Source organism: Homo sapiens, chromosome 15, assembly GCF_000001405.40.
Source record: "Homo sapiens chromosome 15, GRCh38.p14 Primary Assembly".
Lineage (NCBI taxonomy): Eukaryota > Metazoa > Chordata > Mammalia > Primates > Hominidae > Homo > Homo sapiens.
Genome location: NC_000015.10, coordinates 42,066,905 through 42,094,670, shown reverse-complemented (window position 1 = coordinate 42,094,670; position 27,766 = coordinate 42,066,905). Strand labels below are relative to the sequence as shown.

At 51.4% G+C, this 27,766-nt stretch overlaps 1 protein-coding gene across 2 annotated transcripts, besides 8 other annotated features; it reads left to right on the top strand.

The window, feature by feature from the left end:
• Positions 1–108: 108 nt before the first annotated feature.
• Positions 109–27,662, top strand: PLA2G4D (phospholipase A2 group IVD). 2 transcript variants are annotated; one of them, NM_178034.4, is made up of 20 exons: positions 109–256; positions 6,971–7,043; positions 7,235–7,371; positions 8,327–8,458; positions 9,140–9,180; positions 9,533–9,575; positions 10,892–10,955; positions 11,337–11,473; positions 12,282–12,392; positions 12,837–12,874; positions 13,057–13,192; positions 13,538–13,674; positions 14,912–15,134; positions 22,279–22,396; positions 22,760–22,897; positions 23,120–23,227; positions 23,354–23,548; positions 23,788–23,954; positions 24,576–24,762; positions 25,730–27,662. In NM_178034.4, the coding sequence occupies exons 1-20, from the start codon at positions 212–214 to the stop codon at positions 25,954–25,956; spliced, it is 2,457 nt and encodes an 818-aa protein (NP_828848.3). In that variant the 5' UTR covers positions 109–211; the 3' UTR covers positions 25,957–27,662. The 2 variants fall into 2 exon arrangements, with proteins under 2 accessions (NP_828848.3, XP_047288355.1); XM_047432399.1 differs by lacking the exon at positions 25,730–27,662 and adding an exon at positions 25,270–25,365.
• Positions 310–1,284: an enhancer, noted in NCBI's record as "H3K27ac-H3K4me1 hESC enhancer chr15:42385585-42386559 (GRCh37/hg19 assembly coordinates)". NCBI's record gives its function as "activates a minimal SCP1, AML or CMV promoter by ChIP-STARR-seq in primed H9 embryonic stem cells {active_cell/tissue: H9 hESC(primed)}" and the evidence as "EXISTENCE:reporter gene assay evidence [ECO:0000049][PMID:30033119]".
• Positions 2,259–3,233: an enhancer, noted in NCBI's record as "H3K27ac-H3K4me1 hESC enhancer chr15:42383636-42384610 (GRCh37/hg19 assembly coordinates)". NCBI's record gives its function as "activates a minimal SCP1, AML or CMV promoter by ChIP-STARR-seq in primed H9 embryonic stem cells {active_cell/tissue: H9 hESC(primed)}" and the evidence as "EXISTENCE:reporter gene assay evidence [ECO:0000049][PMID:30033119]".
• Positions 9,265–10,464: an enhancer, noted in NCBI's record as "CDK7 strongly-dependent group 2 enhancer chr15:42376405-42377604 (GRCh37/hg19 assembly coordinates)". NCBI's record gives its function as "activates an origin of replication core promoter dependent on BRD2, BRD4, P300/CBP, MED14 and CDK7 cofactors, with strong dependence on CDK7, by STARR-seq in HCT116 cells {active_cell/tissue: HCT116}" and the evidence as "EXISTENCE:reporter gene assay evidence [ECO:0000049][PMID:35650434]".
• Positions 9,265–11,024: a biological region, named in NCBI's record as "CDK7 strongly-dependent group 2 enhancer GRCh37_chr15:42376405-42377604".
• Positions 9,946–10,240: a silencer, noted in NCBI's record as "tiled region #5534; HepG2 Repressive DNase unmatched - State 4:PromP". NCBI's record gives its function as "represses a minimal TATA promoter and a strong SV40 promoter by Sharpr-MPRA in HepG2 cells {active_cell/tissue: HepG2}" and the evidence as "EXISTENCE:reporter gene assay evidence [ECO:0000049][PMID:27701403]".
• Positions 10,409–11,024: an enhancer, noted in NCBI's record as "H3K4me1 hESC enhancer chr15:42375845-42376460 (GRCh37/hg19 assembly coordinates)". NCBI's record gives its function as "activates a minimal SCP1, AML or CMV promoter by ChIP-STARR-seq in primed H9 embryonic stem cells {active_cell/tissue: H9 hESC(primed)}" and the evidence as "EXISTENCE:reporter gene assay evidence [ECO:0000049][PMID:30033119]".
• Positions 12,847–13,394: an enhancer, noted in NCBI's record as "H3K4me1 hESC enhancer chr15:42373475-42374022 (GRCh37/hg19 assembly coordinates)". NCBI's record gives its function as "activates a minimal SCP1, AML or CMV promoter by ChIP-STARR-seq in naive H9 embryonic stem cells {active_cell/tissue: H9 hESC(naive)}" and the evidence as "EXISTENCE:reporter gene assay evidence [ECO:0000049][PMID:30033119]".
• Positions 13,395–13,943: an enhancer, noted in NCBI's record as "H3K4me1 hESC enhancer chr15:42372926-42373474 (GRCh37/hg19 assembly coordinates)". NCBI's record gives its function as "activates a minimal SCP1, AML or CMV promoter by ChIP-STARR-seq in naive H9 embryonic stem cells {active_cell/tissue: H9 hESC(naive)}" and the evidence as "EXISTENCE:reporter gene assay evidence [ECO:0000049][PMID:30033119]".
• Positions 27,663–27,766: the final 104 nt, after the last annotated feature.

Genomic DNA, 27,766 nt, shown 5'->3' with positions numbered 1-27,766 from the left:
CTGGTTGACCCAGCCTCTTGGGGAAGAGGGGCAGGTGCAGGGCTGAAGGAGCGACCTGGGGGTGGAGCCCCAACCTGTTTATAGGATCGTGGCTCATTGAAGGCTGGCAGATTCATGCTGGTCCTATCCCACTGGGACCGTCGCTGCCACTCAGCCAGAGAGCCAGCATCTTGGCAAGGGCTGGGCCTGGAGTGAAGCTGGAAGGGCTAGCATGGAGAGCCTGTCACCTGGGGGACCACCTGGCCACCCTTACCAGGTAACAGTGTCTGCAGAGCATGTGGGCACCAGTCAGGGCAGGCCTGGAGCCAGGGTGCATTCTGGGAAGTGTGATAGCTGGAATCAGGGTGATTTCAGACTGGGCCAGAGGGCGAGGGAGTCTGAGATTTGGGATGCAGAGTGGGTGGGGTGGGTGAGCAGCATCCGTAGATGCGGGGGCTGGGAAACGTGAGTCTGGTCAGCAGAGCTTCCTCTCCCCACCACCAGCGACCACAGCAGTGTCCTTAGGGACCTCTCCCCCACCATCATCGGAGAACATAGTGGCTGGGTGTGTCACAAAAGGAGACCCACCAGGCCCACAGCCCCACCACCACAGGCCGGCAGACTTCCCAGAACTGGCTGGAGCCCTGGGATCACCCTGTGTGTCTCCAGAGCTCTGGGGGCCCAAATCCCCATCCACTGCCAAGTATTTAGTAGGCCCAAGAGCTGTGGGGCTGCATCCAGGCCAAGGAGGCCTGCAAACTTCTCGCCACCCCCCCACCCTCTGTCATGTGTTTCTCCAAAGCCCAGAGTTTTCATCCTCTGCCAGGGACCAAGGCCAGCAGAGCTGGCTCCTGAGGTCTCCCCCCGGTGCCCCAGGTGGTGGCCAGGAATGAGGCTAAGTGTGTCAAGGTCACTGTCCTGAGGTCCTTTGCCTCATATGCAGACCTCGCTGGGCTTCTAGAGCTGTGGCCCTGAGACCCAGGCCCAAGCTGGATCCAGACAAGCAGCTCCAGACTGGTGCTCCTGGAAGAGGCTCAGCCTGGGGCAGGGCAGACACTAAGGAGCCCTGGGGGAAGATGAGAGGGACCCCTCAGTGAAGGACCACACTGTTGCCCCAGCCTGAGGTCAGGTGGATCCACCCACGAGTCAGACATCAGCGGACATTTGGATGCGGGGGAGTCCACGGATGCAGGCCAGTGGAGGGGCTGGCGGCCCTGGCTCCACCACCCGTCCCATCAGGAGCCCTGAGCCCAGAACGGCCCATTGTGGAGGCTTCTGGAATATTTCCCCCTTTAAACTCATCTCCCTGGCGAAGGCTGTGCCCCTTTCCCCTTTTCCCTCAGCCTGCTCTAGGTCTAGCTCCTGGGTAAAACAAAAGCCTAAGTGTCAGCAATTTGGGAGCCTCAGTCGGCCCCACACCTGGAAAGCACCTCGCCTCCAGCTGGCATTCACAGGACTGAGTCCCCAGGACCAGGTCCTCAAGCTCCAGCCTTCAAGTCGGTTCCTGTGGTTGGCAAGCTTCAGCAGCGGTTTAGCCTAGCCTCATTTCTGCTGGAACAGGGGCCTGGAACCTGCCCCAGAGCGGGACCTGGGCCAGCAGGCTAGGCTGGCCATCCGGGACCTGTTCTGGAACGTGCCTGCCGTGTGGTCCAGGAGACTCAGCCCAGCCTGAGGGAGGTGCAGGGCCTGGGGCTGTGCCCAGGGGTTCCACTCCTCTTCTCTCTGACCTCCTGCATTGCCCCACCACAGGGCGCCAGTGCCAGCAGACGACAGGGTGGGTCTGCTCATTTCTCTCTTCCTGCCGAACACCCAGGATCACGGGCAAGGATACTCTGGACCCCAGCTGGGGAGACCCAACCCCCTTAAGCTCTCTTGGGCCACATCTCCCAAGATGGGCACGGGGCAGCACAGAGCCTCTCACAAAACTTCCTGGCAAACGTGTGCCCTGGGCCTCTCCACCGGAAGAAGGATGGCCCAGAGCCTCTGGGGTCCCTGCGCAAGGTTCAGAGTGGCTGAGACCCTCAGCAGGGAGGCATTCGGGGGATCCTACAGGTGACTGGGCTGACGAATTTCCTCCAGAAGCCTCCGGGTTAGTCATCAATTAAGGAGGTATTTCAGATGGGAGGAGCTTTCAGAAGGGAATGTGACGCCCCTATGCCCTCAGGGGAAAAGATTCATATCAGTTAAAGTGTCGGTTATCTCAGTAATCATATTAGTCAAATCTGTGACAAATCTATGAATATCTGTTAGTCAAATTAGACAAATCTATGAAAATCTAGTGTCTAGATATCCTAGATATCCGTGGGGCAATGAGGGAAGAGTTGCATGCTTTTCCAAAGAAGCAAAAGTCCTGGGAAGGTAGAATAGACGGGGGTTGTGAGCTCTGGCCTGGAAGTTTGAATTCTAACTCTGTCCCTGCTAACTCTGTGACCTTGGGCAAGTTAGCCTCTCTGAGCCTCAATTCCCTCATGTAGAAAATGGGAGGAAATGGGAGTACTGTCTTTTGAAGCTGTGGGAGGATAAATAAAGTTACAGTAGTGTAGGGACCAGCCCCACAGGGTCGGTGGGTCTCTCCCCGTGTGCGGTGACGAGAGAGTTTAGAAATAAAGACACAAGACAAAGAGATAAAAGAAAAGGCAGCTGGGCCCGGGGGACCACTGCCACCAATGCGCGGAGACCGGTAGTGGCCCTGAATGTCTGGCTGTGCTGTTGTTTATTGGATACAAAGCAAAAGGGGCAGGGTAGAGAGTGTGAGTCATCTTCAATGATAGGTAAGGTCACGTGGGTCACGTGTCCACTGGACAGGGGGCCCTTCCCTGCCTGGTAGCCGAGGCAGAGAGAGAGAGGAGACAAAGAGAAAGACAGCTTACGCCATTATTTCTGCATATCAGAGACTATTAGTACTTTCACTAATTGACTACTGCTATCTAGAAGGCAGAGCCAGGTGTACAGGATGGAACATGAAGGCAGACTAGGAGCGTGACTACTGAAGCACAGCATCACAGGGAGATGGTTAGGCCTCCAGGTAACTGCGGGCGAGCCTAACGTCAGGCCCTCCACGAGAGGTGGAGGAGTAGAGTCTTCTCTAACTCCCCCGGGGAAAGGGAGACTCCCTTTCCCGGTCTGCTAAGTAGCAGATGTTTTTCCTTGACACTTTTCGCTACCGCTAGACCATGGTCCGCCTGGCAACAGGCATCTTCCCAGACGCTGGCGTCACCGCTAGACCAAGGAGCCCTTCTGGTGGCCCTGTCTGGGCATAACAGAAGGCTCGCACTCTTGTCTTCTGGTCACTTCTCACTGTGTCCCCTCAGCTCCTATCTCTGTATGGCCTGGTTTTTCCTAGGTTATGATTATAGAGCGAGGATTATTATAATATTGGACTGAAGAGTAATTGCTACAAACTAATGATTAATGATATTCATATATAATCGTATCTAAGATCTATATCTGGTATAACTATTCTTGTTTTATATTTTATTATACTGGAACAGCTTGTATCCTCGGTCTCTTGCCTCGGCGCCTGGGTGGCTTGCCACCCACACGGTAGGTAATATGGTTAGTACAGTATTGTCACCCTACAGAAAGACACGAGAGAAAATGATCTCTATGTTGTGTTTACTCTGGAATGAGAAATGACTGTGGCTCGGAATGTGTCGAATGACAGGCCGCCAGGGCAATTGTGAGGGAAGGGGAAAGGGAAGCTTTTACTGGAAAAAAGGGGGAGGCTCACAGAAACTGCTTGGAAACAGAGTTCATTGGTTCCAGAGCTCAAAGCCAGAGTTGTCAGTTCATTGGTGGAGATGCTGTTACTGGGCACGTGTTTTCTGAGAGCATCTTATCTGAATTATTGCAGTCCTAATGGATGTCTAGTGATGAACCTTGTCAACTCATCTCCCTGGCGAAGGCTGTACCCCTTCCCCCTTTTCCCTCAGCCTCCTCTAGGTCTAGCTCCCAGGTAAAACAAAAGCCTAAGTGTCAGCGATTTGGGAGCCTGAGTCTGCCCCACAACTGGAAACTGCCTCACCTCCAGCCGGCATTCACAGGACTGAGTCCCCAGGACCAGGGGCTGTGCCCAGGTGTTCCACTCCTCTTCTCTCTGACCTCCTGCATTACCCCACCACAGGGCACCGGTGCTAGCAGGGAACAGGGCGGGTCTGCTCATTTCCCTCTTCCTGTCAAAGAGGGACTTTGGCATGAAGGATGTGAAGCTGTTTTCTGTGGGGTTTGTAGGAAGTCCTTGGAAACAACTCTCATCTCAGACATGTAAATACGAGCTCTGCTCTTTCATGCGTTCCCAGCCCTAATTTGTCGGGGTCTGACAAAAGTGATTTCATCCTGGTATCTGCAACATTCACAGTGCCTGAAAACATGGCAAATACTTAATAAACAGTAGTAGCAATAGCAGTTACCTAAAAACTGCTTACTTTATTCCTAAGCAGTCTGCAGGCATTAACATTTTAAGCCTCAGAATACTATGTGAGGTCAAAACTATTATTTCCACTACACATGAGGAAACAGAGGCACAGAGAAGTTTAGTGACTTGTCCAAGGTCACACAGCAAGTAAGTGGCAGGGCCAGGGTTTAAATCCAGACAACCTGGCTCCAGAGTCTGCCTTTAAGCCCCCGTAAAGACCAGTCATTGTAATCACTGTCCCAATAATACCATGTTCTGGGCACTCCATGTTAGCGATGATCTTAGAGGTGAAGAGAATCGGGATTTTTCTCTAGGGAAAATAACCTGCCGGGGAATGGTGGGCTTTCTGAGGTTGAGAAGCTCTCAGTGATGGGAGGGAGAAATGAACCACAGTGCTTAAACCCGGGATGGTGACTGGCTAGACAGTGAGTAACTGGGGCCACTTCTCAGTAGCCCAAGTGACTTTAGAGCAGCCCACAAGCTGTGGACCTGTGGAGTATCAGCCTGGCCGGGGGAGCAGGGGAGCGAGGCTGGGCTGCCTCTGCCCTTCACCTGTCTTGTCTTGGAGCGGGACATTCAAACTCAATACCCTGCAGGGCCCCAGCATCCCAGCCATCACCTCCCTGTGGCCGGCAGTGGTGGAATCTGAGTGAGGGGAGGAAATGGAGCTAGATGTCCCAAAGTTCATGAAATCTCTGCTGCTGACAACCTCTATAAGGCTTAAGGTTTATAGAGTTGACATGTTGCTGGTGCCACTGGAGTTAATCCCCAAGAAGAGAGAAACAAATCTACCTTGCTCGGGGAGGTCACATGTGCTCTGCTGGGAAGCTGCCTGGAATGATAGGACGTTGGCATGGAACCACAGAGAGGAAAGATGCAGGGGCAGGGCCACCAGGCATATGGCTTTGCTGTGGCCCATGGTCCTTTACAGTTTTTGGTGGGGAGTGGAGATTCAGGTCCCCGTGGGTGCTGAGCCAGCCCCTAGCAAGCAGCATCTGTGCAGAGCGGGTACGAGTCCTTGTGGGCACCGAGAACTTCCAACCACATGCATGGAAGTGGGTCTGGTCACGGGAGAGCGCAAAGCAGGAAACACCTCTGGTTTTATCACAACAGTCTCCCAGCTATGCGATATCAAATGTTCACTGTGCAAACACTGCACTGGCTTTTGGCTCCCTCAGGGTCGGGGAGGAGCGGGTGAAGGGACATAGGGTCTGAGAAGATCGTACTTACTTAATGGGGAGTCTAACCTGGTGGCAGAGCCGCTGAATGGCAGAAGCCCCAGCACGGGTTTTTTTCTGGAATGAAGGTGGTCTCTGGGTTGTTCAGCAGGGCCGCCACACTGCATGGCTCCTGGGGTTAGCATTTCATAGGCCTTCATGTGCTTGGTGCCTCCTGGGGGTCCTGCCATGCTGTGGCCCTGCAGGATCCCCTCCTGGCTGGGGCTCCCACTGCCCCACTCCCCGGCACAGGCAGTGTTCCTTCCTGACAGCCCCTGTTCTAACAGACCCTCTGGACATGGGCTCTTTCTGCTGGGGCCACGTGCCTCATAGGTGGTCCTCCTGGGAAGGCTCCCTTCCAAGAGGATGCAAGGCCAACAGCCTTCCTTGGGGTCAGCCCACAGGAAAAAATGCCATTTGCCCTGCCAAACCGATTTGAGTAACCTCACATCAAAGGGGCTTATAAGAAACCTGTGCCAGATGCCCAGAAAAAGCCGTGCTGCAGGGCTCAGGAAGAACAGAAACTCCAGGGCCCTCCTGATCGTGGCAGTGCCGGGGACCTCAGCAGTAGGGTGTGGGGACACCCCCAGTGCTCTGACCCCAGCAGGCCTCAGCCACGCCCCTCTGGCCATCTGCTTTCCCTCCTGCCACCTACTCTCGGCTCATCTTCTCCTCCAGCTTCTGCCCACTCAGCTGCTTCTCCCTCACACCTGGGCTGTCTGTGGCTGATGTGGCCTCATCAGCATCTTAATACACAGTGGCCTTTCACCCACAGCACCCACTGCTCCCTGTGATGGCTGGATGCTCTTGGAGTTTCCTCATTCATACCCCTTACAGTGCAGATAGCTGAGATCCAGGGTAGCGCCTGTGGACTGGGCTGCTGAGGCTCACCCTCCCTTAAGTCATATGCCTGCTTCCCGTCCGGAAGGGCTGAGGGGTGGGCAGTGCTGGCAGCAGGGTCACCAAAGGTAACCCTTGTTTTGCCAAAGGGCTGCCCTCCCTGGGAGCTCTGGGAATGGCTGACATCTAACTGACCTCTGTGGTTGCCACTCCTTGGCCCTCACTTCCTTGCTCTGTCCACTACCCATGTTGCTCTGTTCCCGAAGGGGAAGGGGTTCCACAAATTCCACATCTGGGTGTGCTGCTATTCCCTGACTGCTGCAGCCCAGAACCATGACCCCCAAAACAGAAGTGGACAAAGGCTCTTTGGTCCCCAGAGGGTGTCCCCGGAACGCCTGGCAGGGGTGTCAGCACCACCAAGTACCAGGAGAGTGGTGAGGGGTGTCGGCAGCCCGGGCTGCAGCTCCAGGCATAAGGGAGGGAATGCAGGAAGGACTCTGGAGTTTGATTTTCTCTTCAGGGGGAGGCCTCTACCTGCTGGCAGCTCACAGTGAGGGTCCTGGAGGCGCGGAACCTGCGCTGGGCTGACCTGTGTGAGTAACCGCCCTGTGCGCTCTGTCGGGAGCAGGGAGGACCAGATCCCATAGGAAGGGCCAAGACGAGTGCCCTGGGGCTGGGCTGGGTCACCTGCGGTGACCGCCAGGGTCTTGGTAGGAAACTGGCATGGCTCATGGAGAGGGGTGTGGGGAGTACTCCCTCACGAAGACTTCCTTAACCTTGGCAGTGAGTGAGGCCGACCCTTACGTGATCCTACAGCTGTCGACCGCACCTGGAATGAAGTTTAAGACCAAGACGCTCACCGACACCAGTCATCCTGTGTGGAATGAGGCCTTCCGTTTCCTTATCCAAAGTCAGGTCAAGGTGAAGGCCCGGGACTCCTGGCCACTCCCTTGTGAACGGGCTGGACCCCCATGCAAGGGTTCCTGGGGTAGAGCATGCTTCCTCTGGGGCTGTCAGAGAAACTCTCAGCAGTAGGGGGTCTCTGTGCCCTGGCCTGTCTGTGCTGTGTGCAAGGGAATGTATGAAAGAATGAACATGGTCCTTTCACCAACTGGCTGTGGGACTGACTCCCACAAGCTGGGTTCCTCTCGAAGCCCAGCTATGAAACAGAGACAGTAAGAGCCCCCTCCTGATCAGGTCACTGTGGGGTGAGATGAGATAATGCGTGGAAGACCGTGAAAGATCACCAGCACATACCTTAGGGTGCACCTCAGGGAGCCAGAAAAGCCAGGGAGAGAGAGACACACAGACAGGGAGAGAGGAAGAGGGAATTATTTGACAGACTTTTATGTGTTTTGTTTTGTTTTTGAGACAGAGTCTTGCTCTTATTGCCCAGGTTGGAGTTGAATGGCGCGAACTGGGCTCACTGCAACCTCCGCCTCCCAGGTTCAAGCGATTCGCCTGCCTCAGCCTCCCGAGTAGCTGGGATTACAGGCACCCACCACCATGTCCAGATAATTTGTTGTATTTTTAGTAGAGATGGGGTTTCACCATGTTGGCCAGGCTGGTCTCGAACTCTCGACATCAGGTGACCCACCCACCTCAGCCTCCCAAAGTGCTGGATAACAGGCATGAGCCACCATGCCCAGCTCAGAATTTTATGTTTGATAAAAACAAAAATTAGAAGGAGGAAATTTGAAATTTAATAAGATTTCCTTATATTTAAGTTTTACAGTTTTTTTTTTTATTTTGAAGCGCAGACGTGTGGTGGCATAATGATCTTCTCTGACTCTAGACATCAAGTAAGGGCTCAACAGAGGTGAGCTACTCTCACTATGAGCAGGTAAAATGCTAAGTCGCTGTTCCTGGTTCCTAGAATGTTCTGGAGCTTAGCATCTATGATGAGGACTCAGTCACGGAGGATGACATCTGCTTCAAGGTTCTCTATGACATCTCAGAAGTCCTCCCTGGCAAGCTGCTCCGGAAAACCTTCTCCCAGAGTCCCCAGGTGGGTGGGTGGGTGGGGAAGTCCCCGTGGGCCCCACTTCTTCCAACTCCAAGCTGAGGAAGTAGCTATTTCTCCCACCTGTTGGGAGGCTGCTGGGGTGAACTCATTCACAGAAAAATCTAAACCCCTTTTTAGATTTGCATTTTAATAAGCAAGGAAAAGGCTTCACTTTACAGTTACAGGCTGAATCACCCAGTGGAGGAATTTTAGCCACCTGTGGCAGGAAGGCCACCCCTCAAAACACAGCTCAGCATCCATCACTCCTGCTGGTGGTGCCAAGGCCTGCTTTGTGAAGGCCTCACGTCCCTTCCTGCTGCAGCCTGGGGGTGGGGACGGCAGAGTTCGGGGGTCTGGGCCCTCCTCAAGAAAAAGATATGGGTCCTGCACATCATGCCTCCTTTGGCTGTGCTCCTTGTCTTCCCCTTCAGTCTTGCCCAGAGTTGTGGGACCTCCAAGGGAGGGAGACCTGTTCTCTGCAGACTTACTAGCTGTGGGCAATGTGGGCAGGTAGCCCATCTGGCCCCATACCTCAGTTTCCTCATCCATAAATTGGAAATAATTGTACTAACGTGCCTCCCTTGGAGACCGCTTGAGAGGATGAGATGACACCTGTAAAAGAACTGTGTCAACTCTGAAGACACAGGTATGTGCTGATGACTTGCTCATGCTCTCTGATTTCAGGGAGAGGAGGAGCTGGATGTGGAGTTCCTGATGGAAGAAACGTGAGTAATGTCACACAGCCCAGGGAGTGTCTCAGGACTCAGGCTCTGAGGAAATGGCCCTGACCCAGATCTCCCTGTGGTCAGTCCAGCCTGACTGTCCCTCATCTCCTACCCCTGCCAGAGAGGTCGGGAGTGGGGCGGGGCTTCTCTTAGGGAAACACAGAGAGGAAGGCCGATGTTTTCTCTCTCTGCTCTCTCCCCTCCCCTCTCCTCCTGCAAAGCATCTCCCCTTGTCCCTGAACCGAATCCAGGACTTACAGAGCCCTCAGCATCACCCAGGGAGACCCCACATGGGCGGGAGCGGGAGGTCAATGCAGGAAGCGTTTGCCTTTGCATGGTTTGATTTTTCCAGGTCAGATCGCCCAGAAAACCTCATCACCAACAAAGTCATTGTGGTAAGCACCTTCCCCAGGCTTAGGGGAGGGGCCCCAGAGCAGACGCTTGGGGAGGGAGGGCAGCTGCCTGGGGTGTGGACCAGCAGGGACAAGGAAGGGGCAGGGCTTCGTGGTAAAACCACCCCTAGCCTTCCAGCCAGGTGGTCACCTGTGGCTGTGGGTCTTGGAGGGGCCTGGAGCTAAGGGGCGCATAGAGAGAGGGGAGGCAGGGCTCTGCTGAGAGGAGGTTCTGGCCCACGGCTGTTCGGGGTGCTTCCGGAAGGTGTTTAGTCACCTGCGGTGAACTCATAGTTCTAGGGATTGACTGAGTGCTTCCCTGGGAAGCGGTGAAGAAATCAGGTAGGCCAGGCCCACCTTCCGGTTGTTCACGTTGAGGTCACCGAGGCTCAGAGGGAGTTCCCAGGGCGGTGTACTGCCAACCTAGGAGGATCAGAGGCTCAGGCAGCTAGCTCCTCCTTGGGACTGGGGAGAGTCCTGGTCAGCGCTCCTGACCACGGGCTCACGAAGCTGCAGTGGACAGAAATGGCCGCAAGGTGGCGAGCGGGCGACGCGCTCGATTATCACAGTGACCCAGACCAGCAGCACAGACCTGGGAGCAGGCGGGTCCAGGGTCACGGGCGAAGGCACCTAGAGCCCAGCATTTAAGCTCCTAGGGGCTGTTTGATGGACGGGTATTACTTTTAAAAATACACATGAAAATAAAGTCAAGCCGATGGCACTGCCTCTTAGGAGGTGATGGAGACACACAGCAGGTGGGCAAATTCAGTGATTGTGTGGAGCGTGGGTGGCGGGCATCTGCTGGTATGCTTCACAGACAGCATGCAGAGGCTCCCTTGGCAAGGCCACGGGGGCCTGGCCTTGTCATTGTCCCCCAGTTAGGCCACAGAGGACAGCCAGGAGACGTTCTGAGGGTTTGTCCGACGCCCCGTCTACCCTCCTATGGATGGGCGGCTTGCTTAGATTATTTGGAGTTGTGGTAGAATACCTCCTCCAGCTCCAAGCCACAGGGAAACAAGAGAAGAAACAGCTGTGTCTGAGGGCTGGGCGCTCTAGGAGGTTTCGGGAGTTTGGCAAAGCCAGGGGAGCTGGAGGGGAGGTGTGGAGCCAGGGCCCTCCTGGCTGCTGCGGAATATCAGGTTCAGCCGCGGCAGAGGATCGGCAATGGGATGAAGGGCCTCTGCAGCCAATCCCATCCTGAGCCCACACAACTCCTTGTGTGTGTGGTGGATTTGGGACAGTGGGTCTCAGAGGGTTGAGGTTAAGGGGACCTCAGCTTACCCTGCAGAGGCCCCTGCCCATGATGTGGTCTTCCCCAGGCCCGAGAGCTGTCATGCCTGGATGTGCATCTGGACAGCACAGGGAGCACCGCTGTGGTTGCAGGTGAGACCAGCTTAGAACCAGGCCTGGACTCTGCCTGGATGTGGGGGTGAGGAGGATTGCTGGGAAGCCTGCGCAGGGCAGGAGGCCAGCAGCAGGGTAGAGCTTGCCTCTCTCTTCTCACCCACATGGCACAGAGGGCCACGCATCTCCGCTGGGCAGGAGGGTCCCCTGACCTGGGGGAGAGCATGTTGCAGAAGGCAGGAGTCCGGGATGGGGGGTTGTGGGGCCCCTTGGGCTGGGAAGGGCCCTTTTCAGAATGCTGTTGACGATGGCCCAGCCTCCCAGGCATCCTCTGAATCCAGGTGGTGGTGCTGCTGTCCCAGGTCCGAGCTGGGGTTCCGGGCTCTTGTTCTCATGCTAACCCGCCTACTCTCTCCCTAGATCAGGACAAGCTGGAGCTGGAGCTGGTGCTGAAGGGGTCCTATGAGGACACACAGACATCCTTCCTGGGCACAGCCTCTGCCTTCCGCTTCCACTACATGGCAGCCCTAGAGACAGAGCTGAGCGGGCGCCTGAGGGTGGGTCTTGGCTCTAGACCTCGTTTGCAATCCTAGGCTTGGGCAGCTCCAGCTGCAGCGGGCCCCTCCCTGCCTTCCCTGCCCACCAGGGCCAAGGCCCCTGTGGCCTTGTCAGCCTCCCCTAGTTAGGCACCTCACTCTTGGCAGACACAGAGGACCACCAGTGGCCAGAGCGGGCATGGGGCTGCTGCACCATATCAGTCTCTGAATCCTCCAGCGGCCCCTCCAGTGATACCCTTAGAATAAGACATGACATCTGTGCCCACATGGCCCTGCACAGCCTGGCACCCGTCCACCTCTGCCGCCTCATTTTGTTCCACACTCCCCCCATGCACGATGCCTCAGCCATCCTTGTCTCCTCTCTCATTTCCAATATGCCAAGTGCTCTCCTGTCCCCAGCTGGCTTCCTCCAAGGCTGCCTCCTCCTCCTCCTCCTCAACATCTTAGCTCAAATGGTGGCTCTTCAGAGGGTCCTCCTTGACCCCCACCTCAAATAAACCCCACGCACTCCACCTTTGGTTGCATTAGAAACTGTCATATCACACCACTTATTTCCTTCACAACACTTACTAACATCAGTTCATTACCCATGTCTTTATAAATTTATACATGCTATTCCGTGAGAACAATGCCTTCGTACTACATAAATATTAGCTCTTATAATTTTATAATTATAATTATGATACTTATCAATATTATAATATTCTGTATTATCAGGGAGAATGTGTCTGTCTGGATTGTAGTCTAGATACTTAGTAGGGATTTGTTGAATGAATGAATGAATGAATGAATGATGCTTTCCCTTCAGAGCTCCAGAAGCAATGGCTGGAATGGGGACAACTCAGCTGGGTACCTCACTGTGCCCCTGAGGCCCTTGACCATTGGGAAGGAGGTGACTATGGATGTTCCTGCTCCAAATGTAAGTGGCCTCAACTGGATGGGAAATGCCAGTAAGAATGAAGATAAGGCTGGGCTCTGTGGCTCAAGCCTGTAATCCCAGCACTTTGGGAGGCCAAGGCAGGCGGATCACCTGAAGTCAGGAGTTTGAGAACAGCCTGGCCAACATGGCAAAACCCCATCTCTACTAAAAATGCAAAAATTAGCCGGGTGTGGTGGCGCACACCTGTAATCCCAGCTACTCAGGAGGCTGAGGCAGGAGAATCACCTGAACCCAGGAGGCGGAGGTTGCATTGAGCCAAGATCGCACCATTGCACTCCAGCCTGAGCAACAAGAGTGAAACTCTGTCTCAAAAAAAAAAAAAAAAAAAAAGAATGAAGATGAAGGGGACCAAGTCCCCAGGGATACCCATGTGCCGCTTAGGGTCTAGGAGGGTCTGAGCAGAGTCTCTGGCTTTGATTTCAGGCCCCAGGAGTGAGGCTGCAGCTCAAGGCAGAGGGCTGGTAAGGGACATTCACATCTGTGGGGACAGTGAGAGGCGGGCATGCAGGAGGGGAGGGCTATGGACAAAGGTGGTCCTTGAGATTGGAGGAGAGGGCTTCTTTGGCAGCTCATTGTGGGCTTGGCCAGCCAGTGGCTGAGCTATGCAGGTGTCCCCTGACCCCTGGATCCTCCATTGCCACAGCCCTGAGGAGCTGGCCGTGCACCTGGGCTTCAATCTCTGTGCAGAGGAGCAGGCCTTCCTGAGCAGGAGGAAGCAGGTGGTGGCCAAGGCCCTGAAGCAGGCCCTGCAGCTGGACAGAGACCTGCAGGAGGATGAGGTCTGGGGGTGCAGAGGGATGTGTGTGCAGATATCCTGGACGGGCCATAAGGGAGTACCTGATTCCTATGCCTCTCCAGAAACTCCAGTCAGTGGAGAGTGGGCATGTGTGTGGAGACATGGGAGCGTGAGTGGGCTTTGTGGTTCTAACTCCCTTGGGAGCTCCATCCTGAGCTGAGAGCCATTGCTTCCAGAGGAGGGCTGGACCCAGCTCTAACCCTGACTCTATCAGGACCCAACTATGCGGTCCCTTCCCTGGAGACAAGGAGCGGGGCAGGGCCCTGGGTGAGACAGGAGGCAGCTGGCCCCTTTCCTTGTTAATCCAGCCTGTCTGTGTGTGGTCCAGGTACCCGTTGTGGGCATCATGGCCACAGGAGGAGGTGCCCGGGCCATGACCTCACTCTACGGCCACCTATTGGCCTTGCAGAAGCTGGGCCTCCTAGACTGTGTGACCTACTTCAGTGGCATCTCTGGCTCTACGTGGTGAGGATCCTGGGGGACTGGGTGGCAGAGACAATCAGGGGCCATAGCGGGGCAGAGTGGGCACCAGAGGGACACTTTGTGTGGGGAGGCCAAGTAGGTGTGATCATTGTGATCTGATGGGCGCCAAGCAGCTTTCCCACAAGGAAGGAAACAGACGTTTACAGAAGCCCTGCCGTGAGCGAGGCGGCGCAGGAGGTGCATTCCAGATGTTACTGAAAGGCTGTGAGGTAGCTGACTCAGATGCAGCTGGATTTGAGTCCTGGCAGCACCACTTACTGGCTGGCTGACACTGAGCAACTTATCTCCTCTGATTCTCAGTTGATGCAGCTCCAAACGGACAATCCTAGCACACACCGCGTGGGACTGGGGTGTGGGGATCACCCAAGTAAAGCACTTAACTTAATGCCCAGCACAGCCAGGAATTCCTAATTGGTAGCTCTTTTTATCTTTCATTGTTATTATTGCATTTAATCTTCACCACACTCGAGGTAGATTCCCTTATTGTCCATTTAAGACTGTGTAGACATTGAGGTCGAGATACTATTTCTACCTAAAGCTAGCATTACCTCCCTACGCCCTCACCCCGCAGCATGACGAGGTGCAGCATCCCGCTGTTAGAGATTCATTCCTTTGAGTCTTATTGAAATGCGACTTTGAGGAGTAAAAGAAGAGGAAACGCCTCAGAGGAGTTTAGGTGACAGCTGTTGACAAGCAGAGTGTGAAAAGGCTTCAGGACAGGACCGTGAAGATGGGAGTGGGGTCCAGAACTGGGCTGTCCAGTACAGTAAGCCACTATGGTAGCCACTAGCCACATTGTTTATTGACCATTTGAAATGCAGCCAGTCCACATTGAGATGTGTTATAAATACACAGTGAATTTGGAAGACTTAGTTTGAAAAAAATAGAAATTACATCAATAACTGTATTTACTACTTGTTGAAATGATATTTTTGAATATAGCGAATTAAATAAAATATTAAAATTAATTTTTACAGGCTTGTATATCTTTTTAATGTGGTTACTAGGAAATTTAAAATTCCGTGTGTGGCTCACATCGTATTAATATTGGACAGCGCTGATCTAGAAGGAGAGAAAGCCCTGAGACCCATTTACCAGATCGGCAGAGCCTTGGTGGCAGGAGCCACGTGTCAGGAGAAGCTGCCGAGTGGGAAGCAGGAGTTGCAGCGCCCCATGCTGGGCCTCGGGCTCCTACTGTTCTGTCCCCTCGTTCTTCCAGGACAATGGCCCACCTGTACGGGGACCCTGAGTGGTCGCAGAGGGACCTGGAGGGACCTATCAGATACGCCCGGGAGCACCTGGCCAAGAGCAAGCTGGAGGTCTTTTCCCCAGAGCGCCTGGCGAGCTACCGCCGGGAGCTGGAGCTGCGGGCTGAGCAGGGCCACCCCACGACCTTTGTGGACCTGTGGGCGCTAGTGCTGGAGTCCATGCTGCACGGCCAGGTAGGGCGCCTGCGCACGTGGGGGAGACGCGTGTGTGCACCGCGGGGGCGAAGGCAGGGCTCCCAAGCGGCTGACATGCGCGTGCGTATTTCTTGCAGCGTGGAAGAGCCAGTGTTTTAGTGTCTGCCTCACTTTGGAATGCTGCCTTTCTGAGTTAGCAGATTCTTTAATTAATTGCTGTAAAACAGAAATTTCTGGATCTCCCAAAAGCTGGGAATGAGTCGATGTCAAAGTCAGTTAAGCAAACAAAGCTTTTGTTTTGAATGGGTAAGATTGCTAGAACCGTTTTTATTTATCCTGCAATATGAAATTTACTGTTCTTCTTCATCTTCAGGGTGCTGTTAAAAGCACAAACTCTGTAACCAGATTGCCTGGGTTCTAACACCAGTACCTCTTACTAGCTGTGTGTCCTTAGGCAAGTTACTTAACCTCTCTGTGTCTCCATTTTCTGATCTGTACAATGGGGATAAGAATAGTTCTTAAGTCATAGAGCTGTTCTGAATACTCAGTGATACCTCACCATAGAATAAGCATTAAATGTCAGCTATTATATTTCTTTAGTATTCTAACAGCATCAAGACAAAACTAAACATACATTTTTTAAAAAAATTACAATGCTGCTTGAGAGAAAGCTTAGTAAGTTAACTGCTGAACTTTACACAGATACAATTATTAAAATCAGCTATTTTTTCACGCTGTTGTTTTACCACACATAACTATCTGAACAAAGCTTCAAAAGCGTTTGAAACAATGAAAAGACAAAGTATGGAATATATTAGTAGCAGAAGGACTCATCTTTATCTTTGGGTCAGGGGTTTAATCAAGTATGATTATCATGGGAGGGGAGGAAGAAAAATTCGTTAATGGGTATAAAAATAAATTTATATAGAAGGAATTTGAAAAGAATGATTATCGTGTAAACTAACCAAAAATGAATTTGCCTTCAACTTTTTTCTTTAAATATTATTCTTACCGGTTAAGTACAACACTGCTTAGAAACTACCATCCTTATTTGTTATTAGCTATACATATTCATTATGCAAATCTCAATCTTTATTATTTATTATGAAAATCTTCACACCTAAGACATTGAATAAAGCATAATGACATAATGAATATGCATGAACTTACCAACCAGCCTATGAAATGAAATGTTACAGATACAGTTAAAGCCCTTTGTATACCCTCCCCAGTCTCATTTCACTCCTGCCCCAGGGGCAAACAACATCCTGAATTTAGGTTTATCATCATGTTGCAGGGCAAGGGAGCCTCAAAACTGGGGTTCCACCCATGGAGATTCTTGGTGTCCCCCAGGAAGAAATTCAAGTGTTAGCTGGTGGTAGAAAAAATAGCTTTATCAAGGGCACAGTGTTACAGCTCTGTGACTGCTCCTGCAGAGCAGGGCCACCCATCAGCAGTGTGTCCAGAGCAGCAGCTCAGGGACAGTTCCACAGTCACATTTATACCCATTTTTAATTACATGCAAATTAAGGAGTAGATTATTCAGAAATTTCTAGAAAAAGGTCGTAACTTCCAGGTTGTTGCCAGGGAATGAGTAAACTGTCATGATACTGGTGAGCATGCCTTACAGAGAGGTGCTTTCAGCCCTTCCCTGTTTCAGCCAGTCTCCAATCTAGTTCGAGTCAAGCCCTGCCTCCTACCTCATTCCTGTCTCAGAGATTAGACACTCCTCCTTAATCTTAACAGGGCTGCAGAAGGGTAGAAATCTGTCTTCTGTAACTGCTTCCTGCTTATGTTATGGGCGTAGGCCCTGGCCAAGCAACAGAGGAGTAAAAATCTCTGGATACCTGATCTAAGGGGCCCATAGGCAGAACATTTTAATTCTCCTGGTCAGTAGGCAGGATGGATTGGAAGCCTTGTGCCAGCATTGTCTTTACCTGGAACTATTGTAATCTAAAAGACACAAACTTTACTAAGAGGTTAATCAAACAAGGGCCAAAGATTAGTAATAACAAAATAGCTAACAAAGGTCCTAGGAGAGGTAAGAATGAGGTGAGACTTGGGAAGGCATTTTTGATTATGTAACCAGGGCACTGATCCCAACTATATCTGTTGATGTGATGTATCACATTTATTGATTTGTGTATGTTGAACCATCCTTGCGTTCCTGGGATGAATTCCACTTGATCAATGGTGAATAATCTTTTTGATGTGTTGCTGAATTTCGTATGATAGTATTTTGTCGAGAACTTTTGCATTTATGTTCATCAGGGATCTTGGCCTGTAGCTTTCTTTTTTTGTTTGTGTCCTTATCTGGCTTTTGTATCAATGTAGTTCTGGCCTTGGATAATGACTTTGGAAGTATTCCCTCCTCTTCAATTTTTTGGAATAGTTTGAGTAGAATTGGTATTAGTTCTTTAAATGTTTGGTGGAATTCAGCAGTGAAGCCATCAGGTCCTTGACTTTTCTTTGATGGGTGATATTTTATTACTGCTTCAATCTCATTGCTTGTTATTGTTCTGTTCAGCTTTTCTGTTTCTTCATGGTTCAATCTTGGTAGGTTGAATGTGTCCAGGAATTTATCTGTTTCTTCTAGGTTTTCCAGTTCACAATATTTTCACATATATATCCTTAAGAAAAATATGATATTATTTGCATGAACAATTTTGTACAAGTCTCCTTGCACACCTGCATTAAAGATTCTCTAAGCCTCCAAGATACATACCCAGTAGTTAAATTGTTGGGCCACTGGGTTTGTGCACCTTCAACTTTCCTAGGTATTGCCAAACCATTCTCCAAAGGAGTTGTGTTAATTCACACTCCCACTACCAGTGTATAATAGTTGCTTTTTTCTCTATATCTTGGGCAGACTTTTAAAGTTTTGTTTAACTATGGGGTGTGAAAGGAACATTTATCATAGTTTTGCATTTCTTTGATTTTTAGTTAGACAGTTGATGTTTTTAAGTATATTTATCATTTGGGCTTCCTCTTCCATGAATTACCTATTCAAACCCCTTTCCATTTTCCTGTTTAATTTGTCTTTTTCATATTGTTTTGTAGGAATTCTTTATGTATTCTCGATGTGAATCCTTACCAGTTCTAATGGTTTTAATGCATAATTTCAATATAATCTAATTTATCATTCTCCTTTATGGTTTGTGTTTTGGGGAGTCTTCCTTTTCACTCCCCCAAAGTTATAAAATATCTTCCTATACATTCTTATAAAATTTTTAAAGATTTATTTCTTACTAATAGGACTTTAATCCACCCAGAATTTATCTCCAGGTATCATGTGGATAGGGATCCAATTTTGTTTTTTCTCACATTAATAACAAATTTTCCCAGTCTCATCTATTGAATTTTTTCTCCACTGATCTGCATTGCTAATTCTGTCATGTATCAGGTTTCATATATTTTTCATGTATTTATATTCCTGTGACTCTTCCTGAGTGCCCTATTCTGTTCCAACAGGACAGATTCTCTATCCCTATGCCAACAGCACACTGACTAAAGTTTTGTGATAAATCTTGGTATCTGATAGGCCAAGTTACCAGTCCACTTGAATTGTTCTTCAGAATTCTCTTGGCTGTACTTGACCCTTTGCTGTTTCCTTCCTTCCTTCCTTCCTTCCTTCTTCCTCTCCCCTCCCCTCCCCTCCCCTCCCCTCTCCCTCCCTCCCTCCCTTCCTTTCCTCAGAGTCTTGCTCTGTCACCCAGGCTGGAGTGCAGTGGCACAATATCGGCTCACTGCAACCTCTGCCTCCTGGGTTCAAGTGATTCTTGTGCCTCAGCCTGCCGCATACCTGCGACTACAGGCATGCACCACCATGCACGGCGAATTTTTGTATTTTTAGTAGAGATGGTGTTTCACTGCTTTGGCCAGGCTTGCCTTGAACTCCTGGCCTTGAGTGATCTGCCTGCCTCAGCCTCCCAAAGTGCTGGGATTACAGGTGTGAGCCACTATGACTGGCCTGCTGTTGTAATTATATGATAGAATCACCTAGTCATGTTTTGCAATAAATGTTGTTGGGATTTTTATTGAAATGGCATTGAATTTATGAAGCCAACTTAATTACTAGAAATATTTTCATTTTATTACTATGTGCTATGTAGTCTTTGGATCTACTGTTTAAGTTCATATTCAGTTTTGATGGTGTTGTGTTTTAATAACTGACTTTCCTGCTGAGTGGCAGCAATTAGTTACTACAGAATGGGAGAAGCTGTTTTAACAGTTCACTTTACAAGGTGCTAGAAAACGCAGTTTGATCCTAGGCTGTAAAGCAGACTTTTATTTAATTACCATTGGATACTCCAGTAATGACTTAATGCACGGTTTTATGTGCAAGCTTTATAGACATTTTTTAGAAGACATTTTTTAATTGTTCACAAAAATAGAAATGCTTGTGGTATTATTAGACACCTATATATTCTTAAAAATGAACCTGGACAACATAGTGAGACCCCATCTCTACAAAAAGTTAAAAAATTAGCTGGGCATGGTGGTGCACACCTGTAGTCCCAGCTACTGAGGAGGCTAATGTGGGAGGATAGCTTGAACATGGGAGGTTGAGGCTGCAGTGAGTTGTAATCACCCCACTGCATTCCAACCTGGGCTTTAGAGTGAGACTCTGTCTCAACAAAAGCACCTATGCTATTTTTAAAATTTTGTCCCAATATGAAAGGTTTTTAATTTATTATTTTTTTCTTCTGATTATCATACCTTACCTCTTAAAGCCAACATTCATTGTAGACTTTACAAAATAATGTTTTCTTCGGGCAATTTTAGTGTCAATTTCTAATTTTTTAAAGACTTTAGATAAAAACAGGTATTTATTACCTCTATAATGTAATAATCTAAAATACCAAAAATCACTTACAATGTCAGAATATATAACTCCATTTATGACCAATCACAATTTCATTAATATTAATAAATATCATACCCTGAAACTTTGCTCAGAATGACTTTATTAGTCTACATACATCTTTAATATTGATTAGGTTTTTATAAAAACCCGCTCGTAAAATACACTAGCTATAATCAGTGCTTCTCAAACTCTCATCTCTTCGAAACTTTTTTCTTCAGTCTTTTGCTGGCAAGTACTGAACTGCTTAGAAGCTGCTTATCATTCCTCAAGGAGAAACTCAGAGTGGTTCTCTTATCCTTTCCTGAGTTAAGAGCTGACACACTTTCCTTCCCTTTAGTCTGCATTGCCGGTACTGCACCAAGCTCCAGTGTTTCCCATGGGACCCTCGAATCATCAGAATGGTGTTCTGCAGGGTTGGGGTTACTTGCTTGGAAACTGGGGGGTTAGAGACTGAGAGTCCTGCCGCAGCTTACTGGTGAGCCATTAGATATACCGGGTGGGTTTCAGTAGATGGAGGGGTGTGCTGACCTTTTTCCAGAACTTTCCCTAGGGCATAAATTGTGCAACTATAGTAAAAGGACACATTTTCCCTAGTCATATGTATCAAAAGAGCAACAGAGTTTCTAAATAAAAAGATTTTGAGAAGGGGTCACGTACACACATTTGTACCTAAGGACTGACTCGTACGTACACCACCACCATCAGTGGCAGGGGATCGAGCCCTATTTAGAGATTTCCTGCAAATTCCCTGTAATTCATACTGGGGACCATTGGAAAATGGGGTGGAAGGATGACTGTGGTTGACACATGAGTGTTCTCGTCAGGGACAGAAGAGCTGCCAGCAAGGAGGACACACACACTGGGTGTGTTGAGTTTCGCCATGGATGTGGGAGAGGGACCCTCCTTGGGTAGGCTGGGTAGGAATCCTCACACCTGGCTGGGCATCAGGATCATCTGAGGGTTTTTAAAAGGCAAACTCCAAAGTGACTTCTGACAGGCTGATTCTCAGGGGAGACCCAGAAGTCCGCATGCTTCACATGCTCTCACGTGTACACATTCACTGAGTCACTCTGATGATAAGGGCTGCTGCGGCAGGTTGGGAGCCTCTAGAACTAGACACTCTTCCATCTTGGAGAGCCCAAAGGAAGGATGACGTATTCATGGTACACATACTGCCCAGTAGAAACAGCCCAGGGCTGACAGCATCAACCTCAGCTCTGGCGGCAGAATCCTTCCCAAGGTGGTGCTCCAGGCAGGCACCACCATTCGCCTTGCTGGTGCTTGGGAAGAGCTCTATTTGCAATTCTAGCTCAGCATAGAATGAGGCCTTTCTGTTCCCTTACAATTCAGGGAGGCTCTGTGGAGGCTCCCCCAAAAGGCAAGCTATAGTCGTTGCCATCAAAGAGCTTGGGCCAGGCATGGTGCCTCACGCCTGTAATCCCAGCACTTTGGGACGCCAAGGCAGGTGGATTGCTTGAGCTCAGGAATTTGAGACCAGCCTGGGCAACATGATGTAACTCCATCTCTACAAAACATGCAAAAATTAGCCAAGTGTAACTTGTAGTCCCAGCTACTCTACTCGGGAGGCTGAGGTGGGAGGATCACTTGGGCCTGGGAGGTGGAGGTTGCAGTGATCCAAGATTGCACCACTGCACTCCAGCCTGGGTGACAGAGTGAGACCCTGTCTCAAAATAAAATAAAACAAAGGCAGAGCTTGGAGCTCTATTGAGGAGGAAATTAAGAACAGAAGGCAAGAATAATCAATGGGGTACAACCTCATGTTATGCAAAGCAAGAAAGAAGAGGGACGATGAGGGGGAGGCAAGGATGTCAGGAAAGCATTCGGGAGGAGCTGAAACTTGAACTGCATTAAGGTGAACCTAGAAGAGGGGGCAGTCCATCCCCTGGCATAGGTTGCAGTATATGCTAAAAGGGCATTGCTGCATCCTTTCTACAAAGCAATACGTGGATGTGTGCATGTGTCCTTGTGTCTGTGTGTCAGTATCCACACCCACTTCACCCTTAAATCCACGAAGATGGGCCTGGAAGCACCGCTGGCATTGTGGTCCCTATGAATGGCCCTCGCTGGAGATTCATAGTACACAGCCTGCATGCCCTGTCCAGCGACCCTGCATCTAGGGCTGTTCAGAACACAGGGGCAGGAGTGGGAACTGACCCACATATGGTCCCCAGACCCCACGGGAGGAGCTGCCTCCTCACCCCCAGCCAGGTCCCCCATCCTGCCCCTGTCCTGGCGGAGCCACTGCCTCCAGGGTACTCCCAGCCTCACTTAGGCCCTGATGCCCTCTGGCCCCAGGTGATGGATCAGAAGCTGTCAGGACAGAGAGCCGCCCTGGAACGGGGTCAGAACCCTCTGCCCCTCTACTTGAGCCTCAATGTCAAAGAGAACAATCTGGAGACACTGGACTTCAAGGGTACAGTTCTACCTACTCCCCTCCCACATACTCCACCCCCCAAACCCTCTGCACCCCGACAGCCCCCAGAGAATTCATGCTGGAAGCTCCGCACAGATTGCCCAATGTTCCGGAAGGGCAGTGGTGCTGAGGGGCTCAGGGCATCTCTCTGTGCTTGAGAGTGGGTAGTGCTTGAGGGTGTGGACCAAGGGCTGGGAGGGGTGTGGTCAGTCCAGGACTGCCCATTCCTCACATCTGCTGCATTGGTGCCAGGCACAGCAGGGCTCAGGCCTGCTGGGGGCAGGGGCAGTGTCTTTCGCCAGAGCTGGGGACTCCCGCAATCCACTCCCCTCACACTCCTGCCTCTCCTTCCCACCCCATTAGAGTGGGTTGAGTTCTCCCCCTATGAGGTCGGTTTCCTGAAGTACGGGGCCTTCGTCCCTCCTGAGCTCTTCGGCTCCGAGTTCTTCATGGGACGGCTGATGAGGAGGATCCCGGAGCCCCGGATCTGCTTTCTGGAAGGTGAGGGTGGTGGCTCTGAAGGCCCTGGGCAGCCCTGGGCCAGGTGTCTGAATGGACATGGGTCCTGTAGCTCAGGTGGGGCAGAACCTCAGGACAAGGGGGAGGGGTGGCGGGGGGGATGCATTGTAGGGGTAGCCCTCGCCCCACTCCCATTTTCCATCAGTACCTGAGGGTGGGGCCGCTGGCTGGGGCCTGAGGCTGATCTCTTTTGGTGTTCCTCAGCCATCTGGAGCAACATTTTCTCCCTGAACCTGCTGGATGCCTGGTATGACCTCACCAGTTCTGGGGAGTCCTGGAAACAGCACATCAAGGACAAGACCAGGAGCTTAGGTGGGAAGGGCAGGGGCACTGAGGGGCCTGGGATGACGCTGTTCCTTTAGAATGCTTGCGGTGTGCGGTGTCTGAGGGGAAGAAGTAAGGGGAAGAAGGGACCAATTTCTGTTTCTCTGGCTTCAGAGAAGGAGCCCCTGACCACCTCGGGGACCTCCTCGCGGCTGGAGGCCTCGTGGCTGCAGCCAGGCACGGCGCTGGCCCAGGCATTTAAAGGCTTCCTGACAGGCAGGCCCCTCCACCAGCGCAGCCCCAACTTCCTCCAGGGCCTCCAGCTGCACCAGGACTACTGTAGCCACAAAGACTTCTCCACCTGGGCAGGTCAGGGCCGTGGCCAGGGGTCCCTAGGTCACAAGGTTGGGCCTCTGGGTGGTGTGGCAGGGACTGGCTGAGGCCTAGGAGGTCAGCATCCACTTCTGGGGTGTGGCCTGGAGACGATCCCCTTGGAAGGTCCTGGGGAAGGGCTGGGTGGCATTTAAGGAGTGACCCAGAGGAGAGAAGGGGACATGGATGACCTGTGGCAGGGTGGTGGCCTCTGACCATCCTGCGATTCCCACCAGACTACCAGCTTGACTCCATGCCCAGCCAGCTGACCCCCAAGGAGCCCCGGCTCTGCCTGGTGGACGCCGCCTACTTCATCAACACCAGCTCTCCCTCCATGTTCCGGCCAGGCCGCAGGCTGGACCTCATCCTCTCCTTCGACTACTCCCTATCTGCGCCCTTCGAGGTACCCTGGTCACCCCAGGGGAACCCCTCTGCCCAGCCAGGCCAAGCTCCAGAGGCGAGCAGCAGGGCCACTGAGCCCCTGCCCCACACCGCCGGGGTCCCGAAGGGAAGGAGAGGTGTCAGGCCTTGATCTGCTGGCTCCTGCCAGGGTCCTTAGGTGGGAAGGCTGGGGTGGTGCAGGGGCCTTGGGCTCCCAGGACAGGTGAACAGGGAGGGACCTCCCCACACCTACTCCAAAGAACAGCTGGACGGAGCTGAGAGGAGACCCTAGCATCTCCATGTCCATCCCCCAGACCTCCCCTGAGACGCTGTGCCAATGTGGGTCTCCTCTCGGCTCTGGGATTTGAACAGTCCAGCAATAGCAATCCAGAATTGGGGTTTTGGGGGGCTGGGGGATGGGTCTGACCCCACCTAGAGCTTTTAACCAAACAACATTGCAGACCACCAGAGTCCTTGGACTCCCCCTGGGTCTCCCTCCGAGTCACTCTGCAGCTTGGCCCGACCACAAACAGGACAGAGCCAGGCTGTTGTCTTGACACTGAAGCAGCTGGTGTGGGCTGGAACTGGCCCAGCATTGACCTGGGCCGGGCTGGTTCTCTCCGGGCCACCTTCTCCCCACCAGGCACTGCAGCAGACGGAGCTGTACTGCCGGGCCCGGGGGCTGCCCTTCCCCCGGGTGGAACCCAGCCCTCAGGACCAGCACCAGCCAAGGGAATGCCACCTCTTCTCAGACCCCGCCTGCCCCGAGGCCCCGATCCTGCTGCACTTCCCGCTGGTCAATGCCTCCTTCAAGGACCACTCAGCCCCCGGTGAGGCAGCCCCTCCCAAGCACCCAGGCTGCCTGGCCCCTCAGAGGCCTGCCCTGGGCCCCCCGGCTGCCCAGCAGAGGGAAGGGAAATGAGTCTGCCAGGAGAAGGCTTCAGGCTAGGCCCATCCAGGCCCACTCAGGCCTTGGAGCCCACCCTGGCCTCCTTGCTGATGCCCACATCCCTGCAGGCCCTCTGTTTGCAGGGTCGCTATGCAGGGGTCCCCTTTGTCATGATGCCGGGCTCCTGCAGCCTTCCACTTGCCCTAGTACCCCCAGCTGCCCAGGGCTCCTCTGCTCTCCTGCTCTGTGGGGGACTCACTTGGCCTCTCCACCATCCTTCCCCAGCCCAGGCTGGGCCCCTTCTCAGGGAGCTGGGCCTCTCCTCAGGGGCTCCCGAAATTTAAACCCCCATCACATTCCTTCCTATCTTCTCTTCTCACCAACTGGTCAGAATTTTATTTCCTTCTGGTGGGAAAAACTCATTGCTGCCTTTGTGCGATATTCCCAGCTTTCCAGTTCCTACCATCATTCTAGATCTCCCAGCTTTCCTCTGAACATGCTCAGCCCACATCTGAGAATTCTAAAGAACCTTCATCTCTCAGCAAGTTCTCGCTGCCCCCTTGCTTCCACCGTGAGTTCTAAGAATCCATTCGCAAACCCAGTTGACTTCCCCCTTCTGGCTGTTTCCACCTTGCCTCGAAGCGATGTAGAGACATGTGGGGCTGCCTGAATAGCCTAAGGGGTGTCACGCCACAAGGCAATGAAATATGAAATTGTATTTTCTACCACCAAATAGTACCCATCCAAAGAGCACCCTGCCACCCACATTTACATTCCTGGGCAAAGGACACAGAGAGCTGGGAGGAAAGCAGGGGCCCCTCCAGCGGGGGCAGCCCTCCCTGTGCGCCGCTGCCAGGCTGTAGAAGCCCCGGCGTCCTGCTCCTGACACCCCTCCTACCCCTGGGCAGGTGTCCAGCGCAGCCCCGCAGAGCTCCAGGGTGGCCAAGTGGATCTCACCGGGGCCACCTGCCCCTACACCCTGTCCAACATGACCTACAAGGAGGAAGACTTCGAGCGCCTGCTGCGGCTCAGTGACTACAACGTGCAGACCAGCCAGGGTGCCATCCTGCAGGCCCTGAGGACCGCGCTGAAGCACCGGACTCTAGAGGCGAGGCCTCCAAGGGCACAGACCTGAGGTTGCTCAGAGGCTGCAGGACCCTCCAGGGCCTGCGGGCATAACCTGATCTGTAGCTGGGCTCAGCCACAGGCCTTCCTGGTTGGAGTTCTGGGCTCTCCCAGGCCTGGGTGGCCTCTGTAGCTGGTCTCACTGCCCAGAGGGAACTGCACACACAGACTTCTCTCTTACGTTCATGGCTGGCTTGAGATGAGTTGAAAATAACTTCGCCAGGCCAGTGTGTAGAACAGCTGGTCCAACCAGACAGACTTTCACACCACAATTACTTCCATGCCTGAGCAGGATAGATTTGAAGTGCAAGCCGGAGGCAGCAGATCAGGAGTAGGGACAGGAAGGACAGGGGATGCCTGACCTGACAGGTGGCTTCAGGCCTCGGGAATCACAAGACATCCTGAACACATTGCCTCCTCATCTTCTTCCTGCTCCTCCACCTCCTCCTCTCCTTGTCCTTCTCCTCTTTGTCCTCCTGCTTTCCGTATCCAAGTCTTGTACTTGTTTAAATTTATTCCTAAATATTTTATTCTTTTTGATAAGTGGAGTTACTTTCTTAATTTCATTTAGATTATTCATTGCTATTTTATAGAAATACAATGGATTTTTAAATGTTGATCTTGTATTCCGCAATCTTGCTGAAGTTGTTTACCGGCTCTAATACTTTTGCGGATTTCTTAGAATTTTCTGTAGACAGATCATGCCATCTCCAAATAGAGATGGTTTTACTTCTTCCTGTCTGATCTGAATGCCTTTTATTTATTTTTCCCAATTGCCCTGAGCAGTACAATGATGAACACACGTTTCAAGAGCAGACATCTTGTCTTGTTCCTGACTCTGACAAGAAAGCATAAGTCTCTCACCATTTAGTGTGATTTTAGCTGTGGGTTTTTCTTGGACATCCTTATCAGGTTGAGAAAGTTCTCTTTTATTTCTAGTTTATTGAGTGTTTTATGATGAAACGGTGTTAGGTTTTGTCAAGTGATTTTTCTGTGTCTATGGGCATGATCATGTGGTTTTGTCGTGTATTTTATTAATGTACTCTATTGCATTAATTGGTTTTTGGATATTAAACCAACTTTGCATTCCTGGGGCAGTTTCCATTTGATTATGGTATATAAACCTTTTTGTTTATTGCTGGCACATTTCTTTTTCTTTTTCTTTCTTTTTTTTTTTTTTTGAGACAGAATCTCATCACACTCTGTCACCCAGGCCAAGTTCAATGGTGCAATCTGGCTCACTGCATCCTCAACTTCCTGGGCTCAAGTGATCCTTCCACTTCAGCCTCCCAAGTAGCTGGGACTACAGGCATGTAACACCATACTTGGCTAAATTAAAAAAATGGTTTTTTGTAGAGATGAGGTCTCACCATGTTGCCCAGGCTGGTCTTGAACTCCTGAACTCAAGCAATCCTCCTGCCTCAGCCTCCCAAAGTGCTGGGATTACTGGTGTGAGCCACCACGGCCAGCTGCTAGCACATTTCTTACCTCCCTCATGCAAGGGTGCGTGTACACATACACACACACACACACCTGGCCCCAGGTGGGGGTTGTAGTGAGAGCTTCGGGACAGACCTTGGCTCAGGGACTGCCCTCATCTGATGTCCTCTCTCAGCTTCCTTCCCTGTGCCTCTTCTGCATTTGGCTTTATTTTGATTCTTCACTTTTTCCCTTTATCATGGACTCTTATTTTTTTAACAGTGATATGGGAATTGACTAGCTGTTGTGTTTTATTTTATGCTGGGCATTTTACATTATTCCCCTTAATTCTCACATTTGCCTAATGTGTTAGGTAGAATTACCGTCTCCTTGTTATCAGT

Excerpts from the sequence above, each read along its gene's own strand:
- PLA2G4D (NM_178034.4), top strand. The coding sequence starts at position 212 with ATGGAGAGCCTGTCACCTGGGGGACCACCTGGCCACCCTTACCAG. Across the intron at positions 15,135-22,278 it reads AGTCCATGCTGCACGGCCAG|GTGATGGATCAGAAGCTGTC; the intron begins GTAGGGCGCCTG and ends CTCTGGCCCCAG. Across the intron at positions 24,763-25,729 it reads CAAGGACCACTCAGCCCCCG|GTGTCCAGCGCAGCCCCGCA; the intron begins GTGAGGCAGCCC and ends ACCCCTGGGCAG.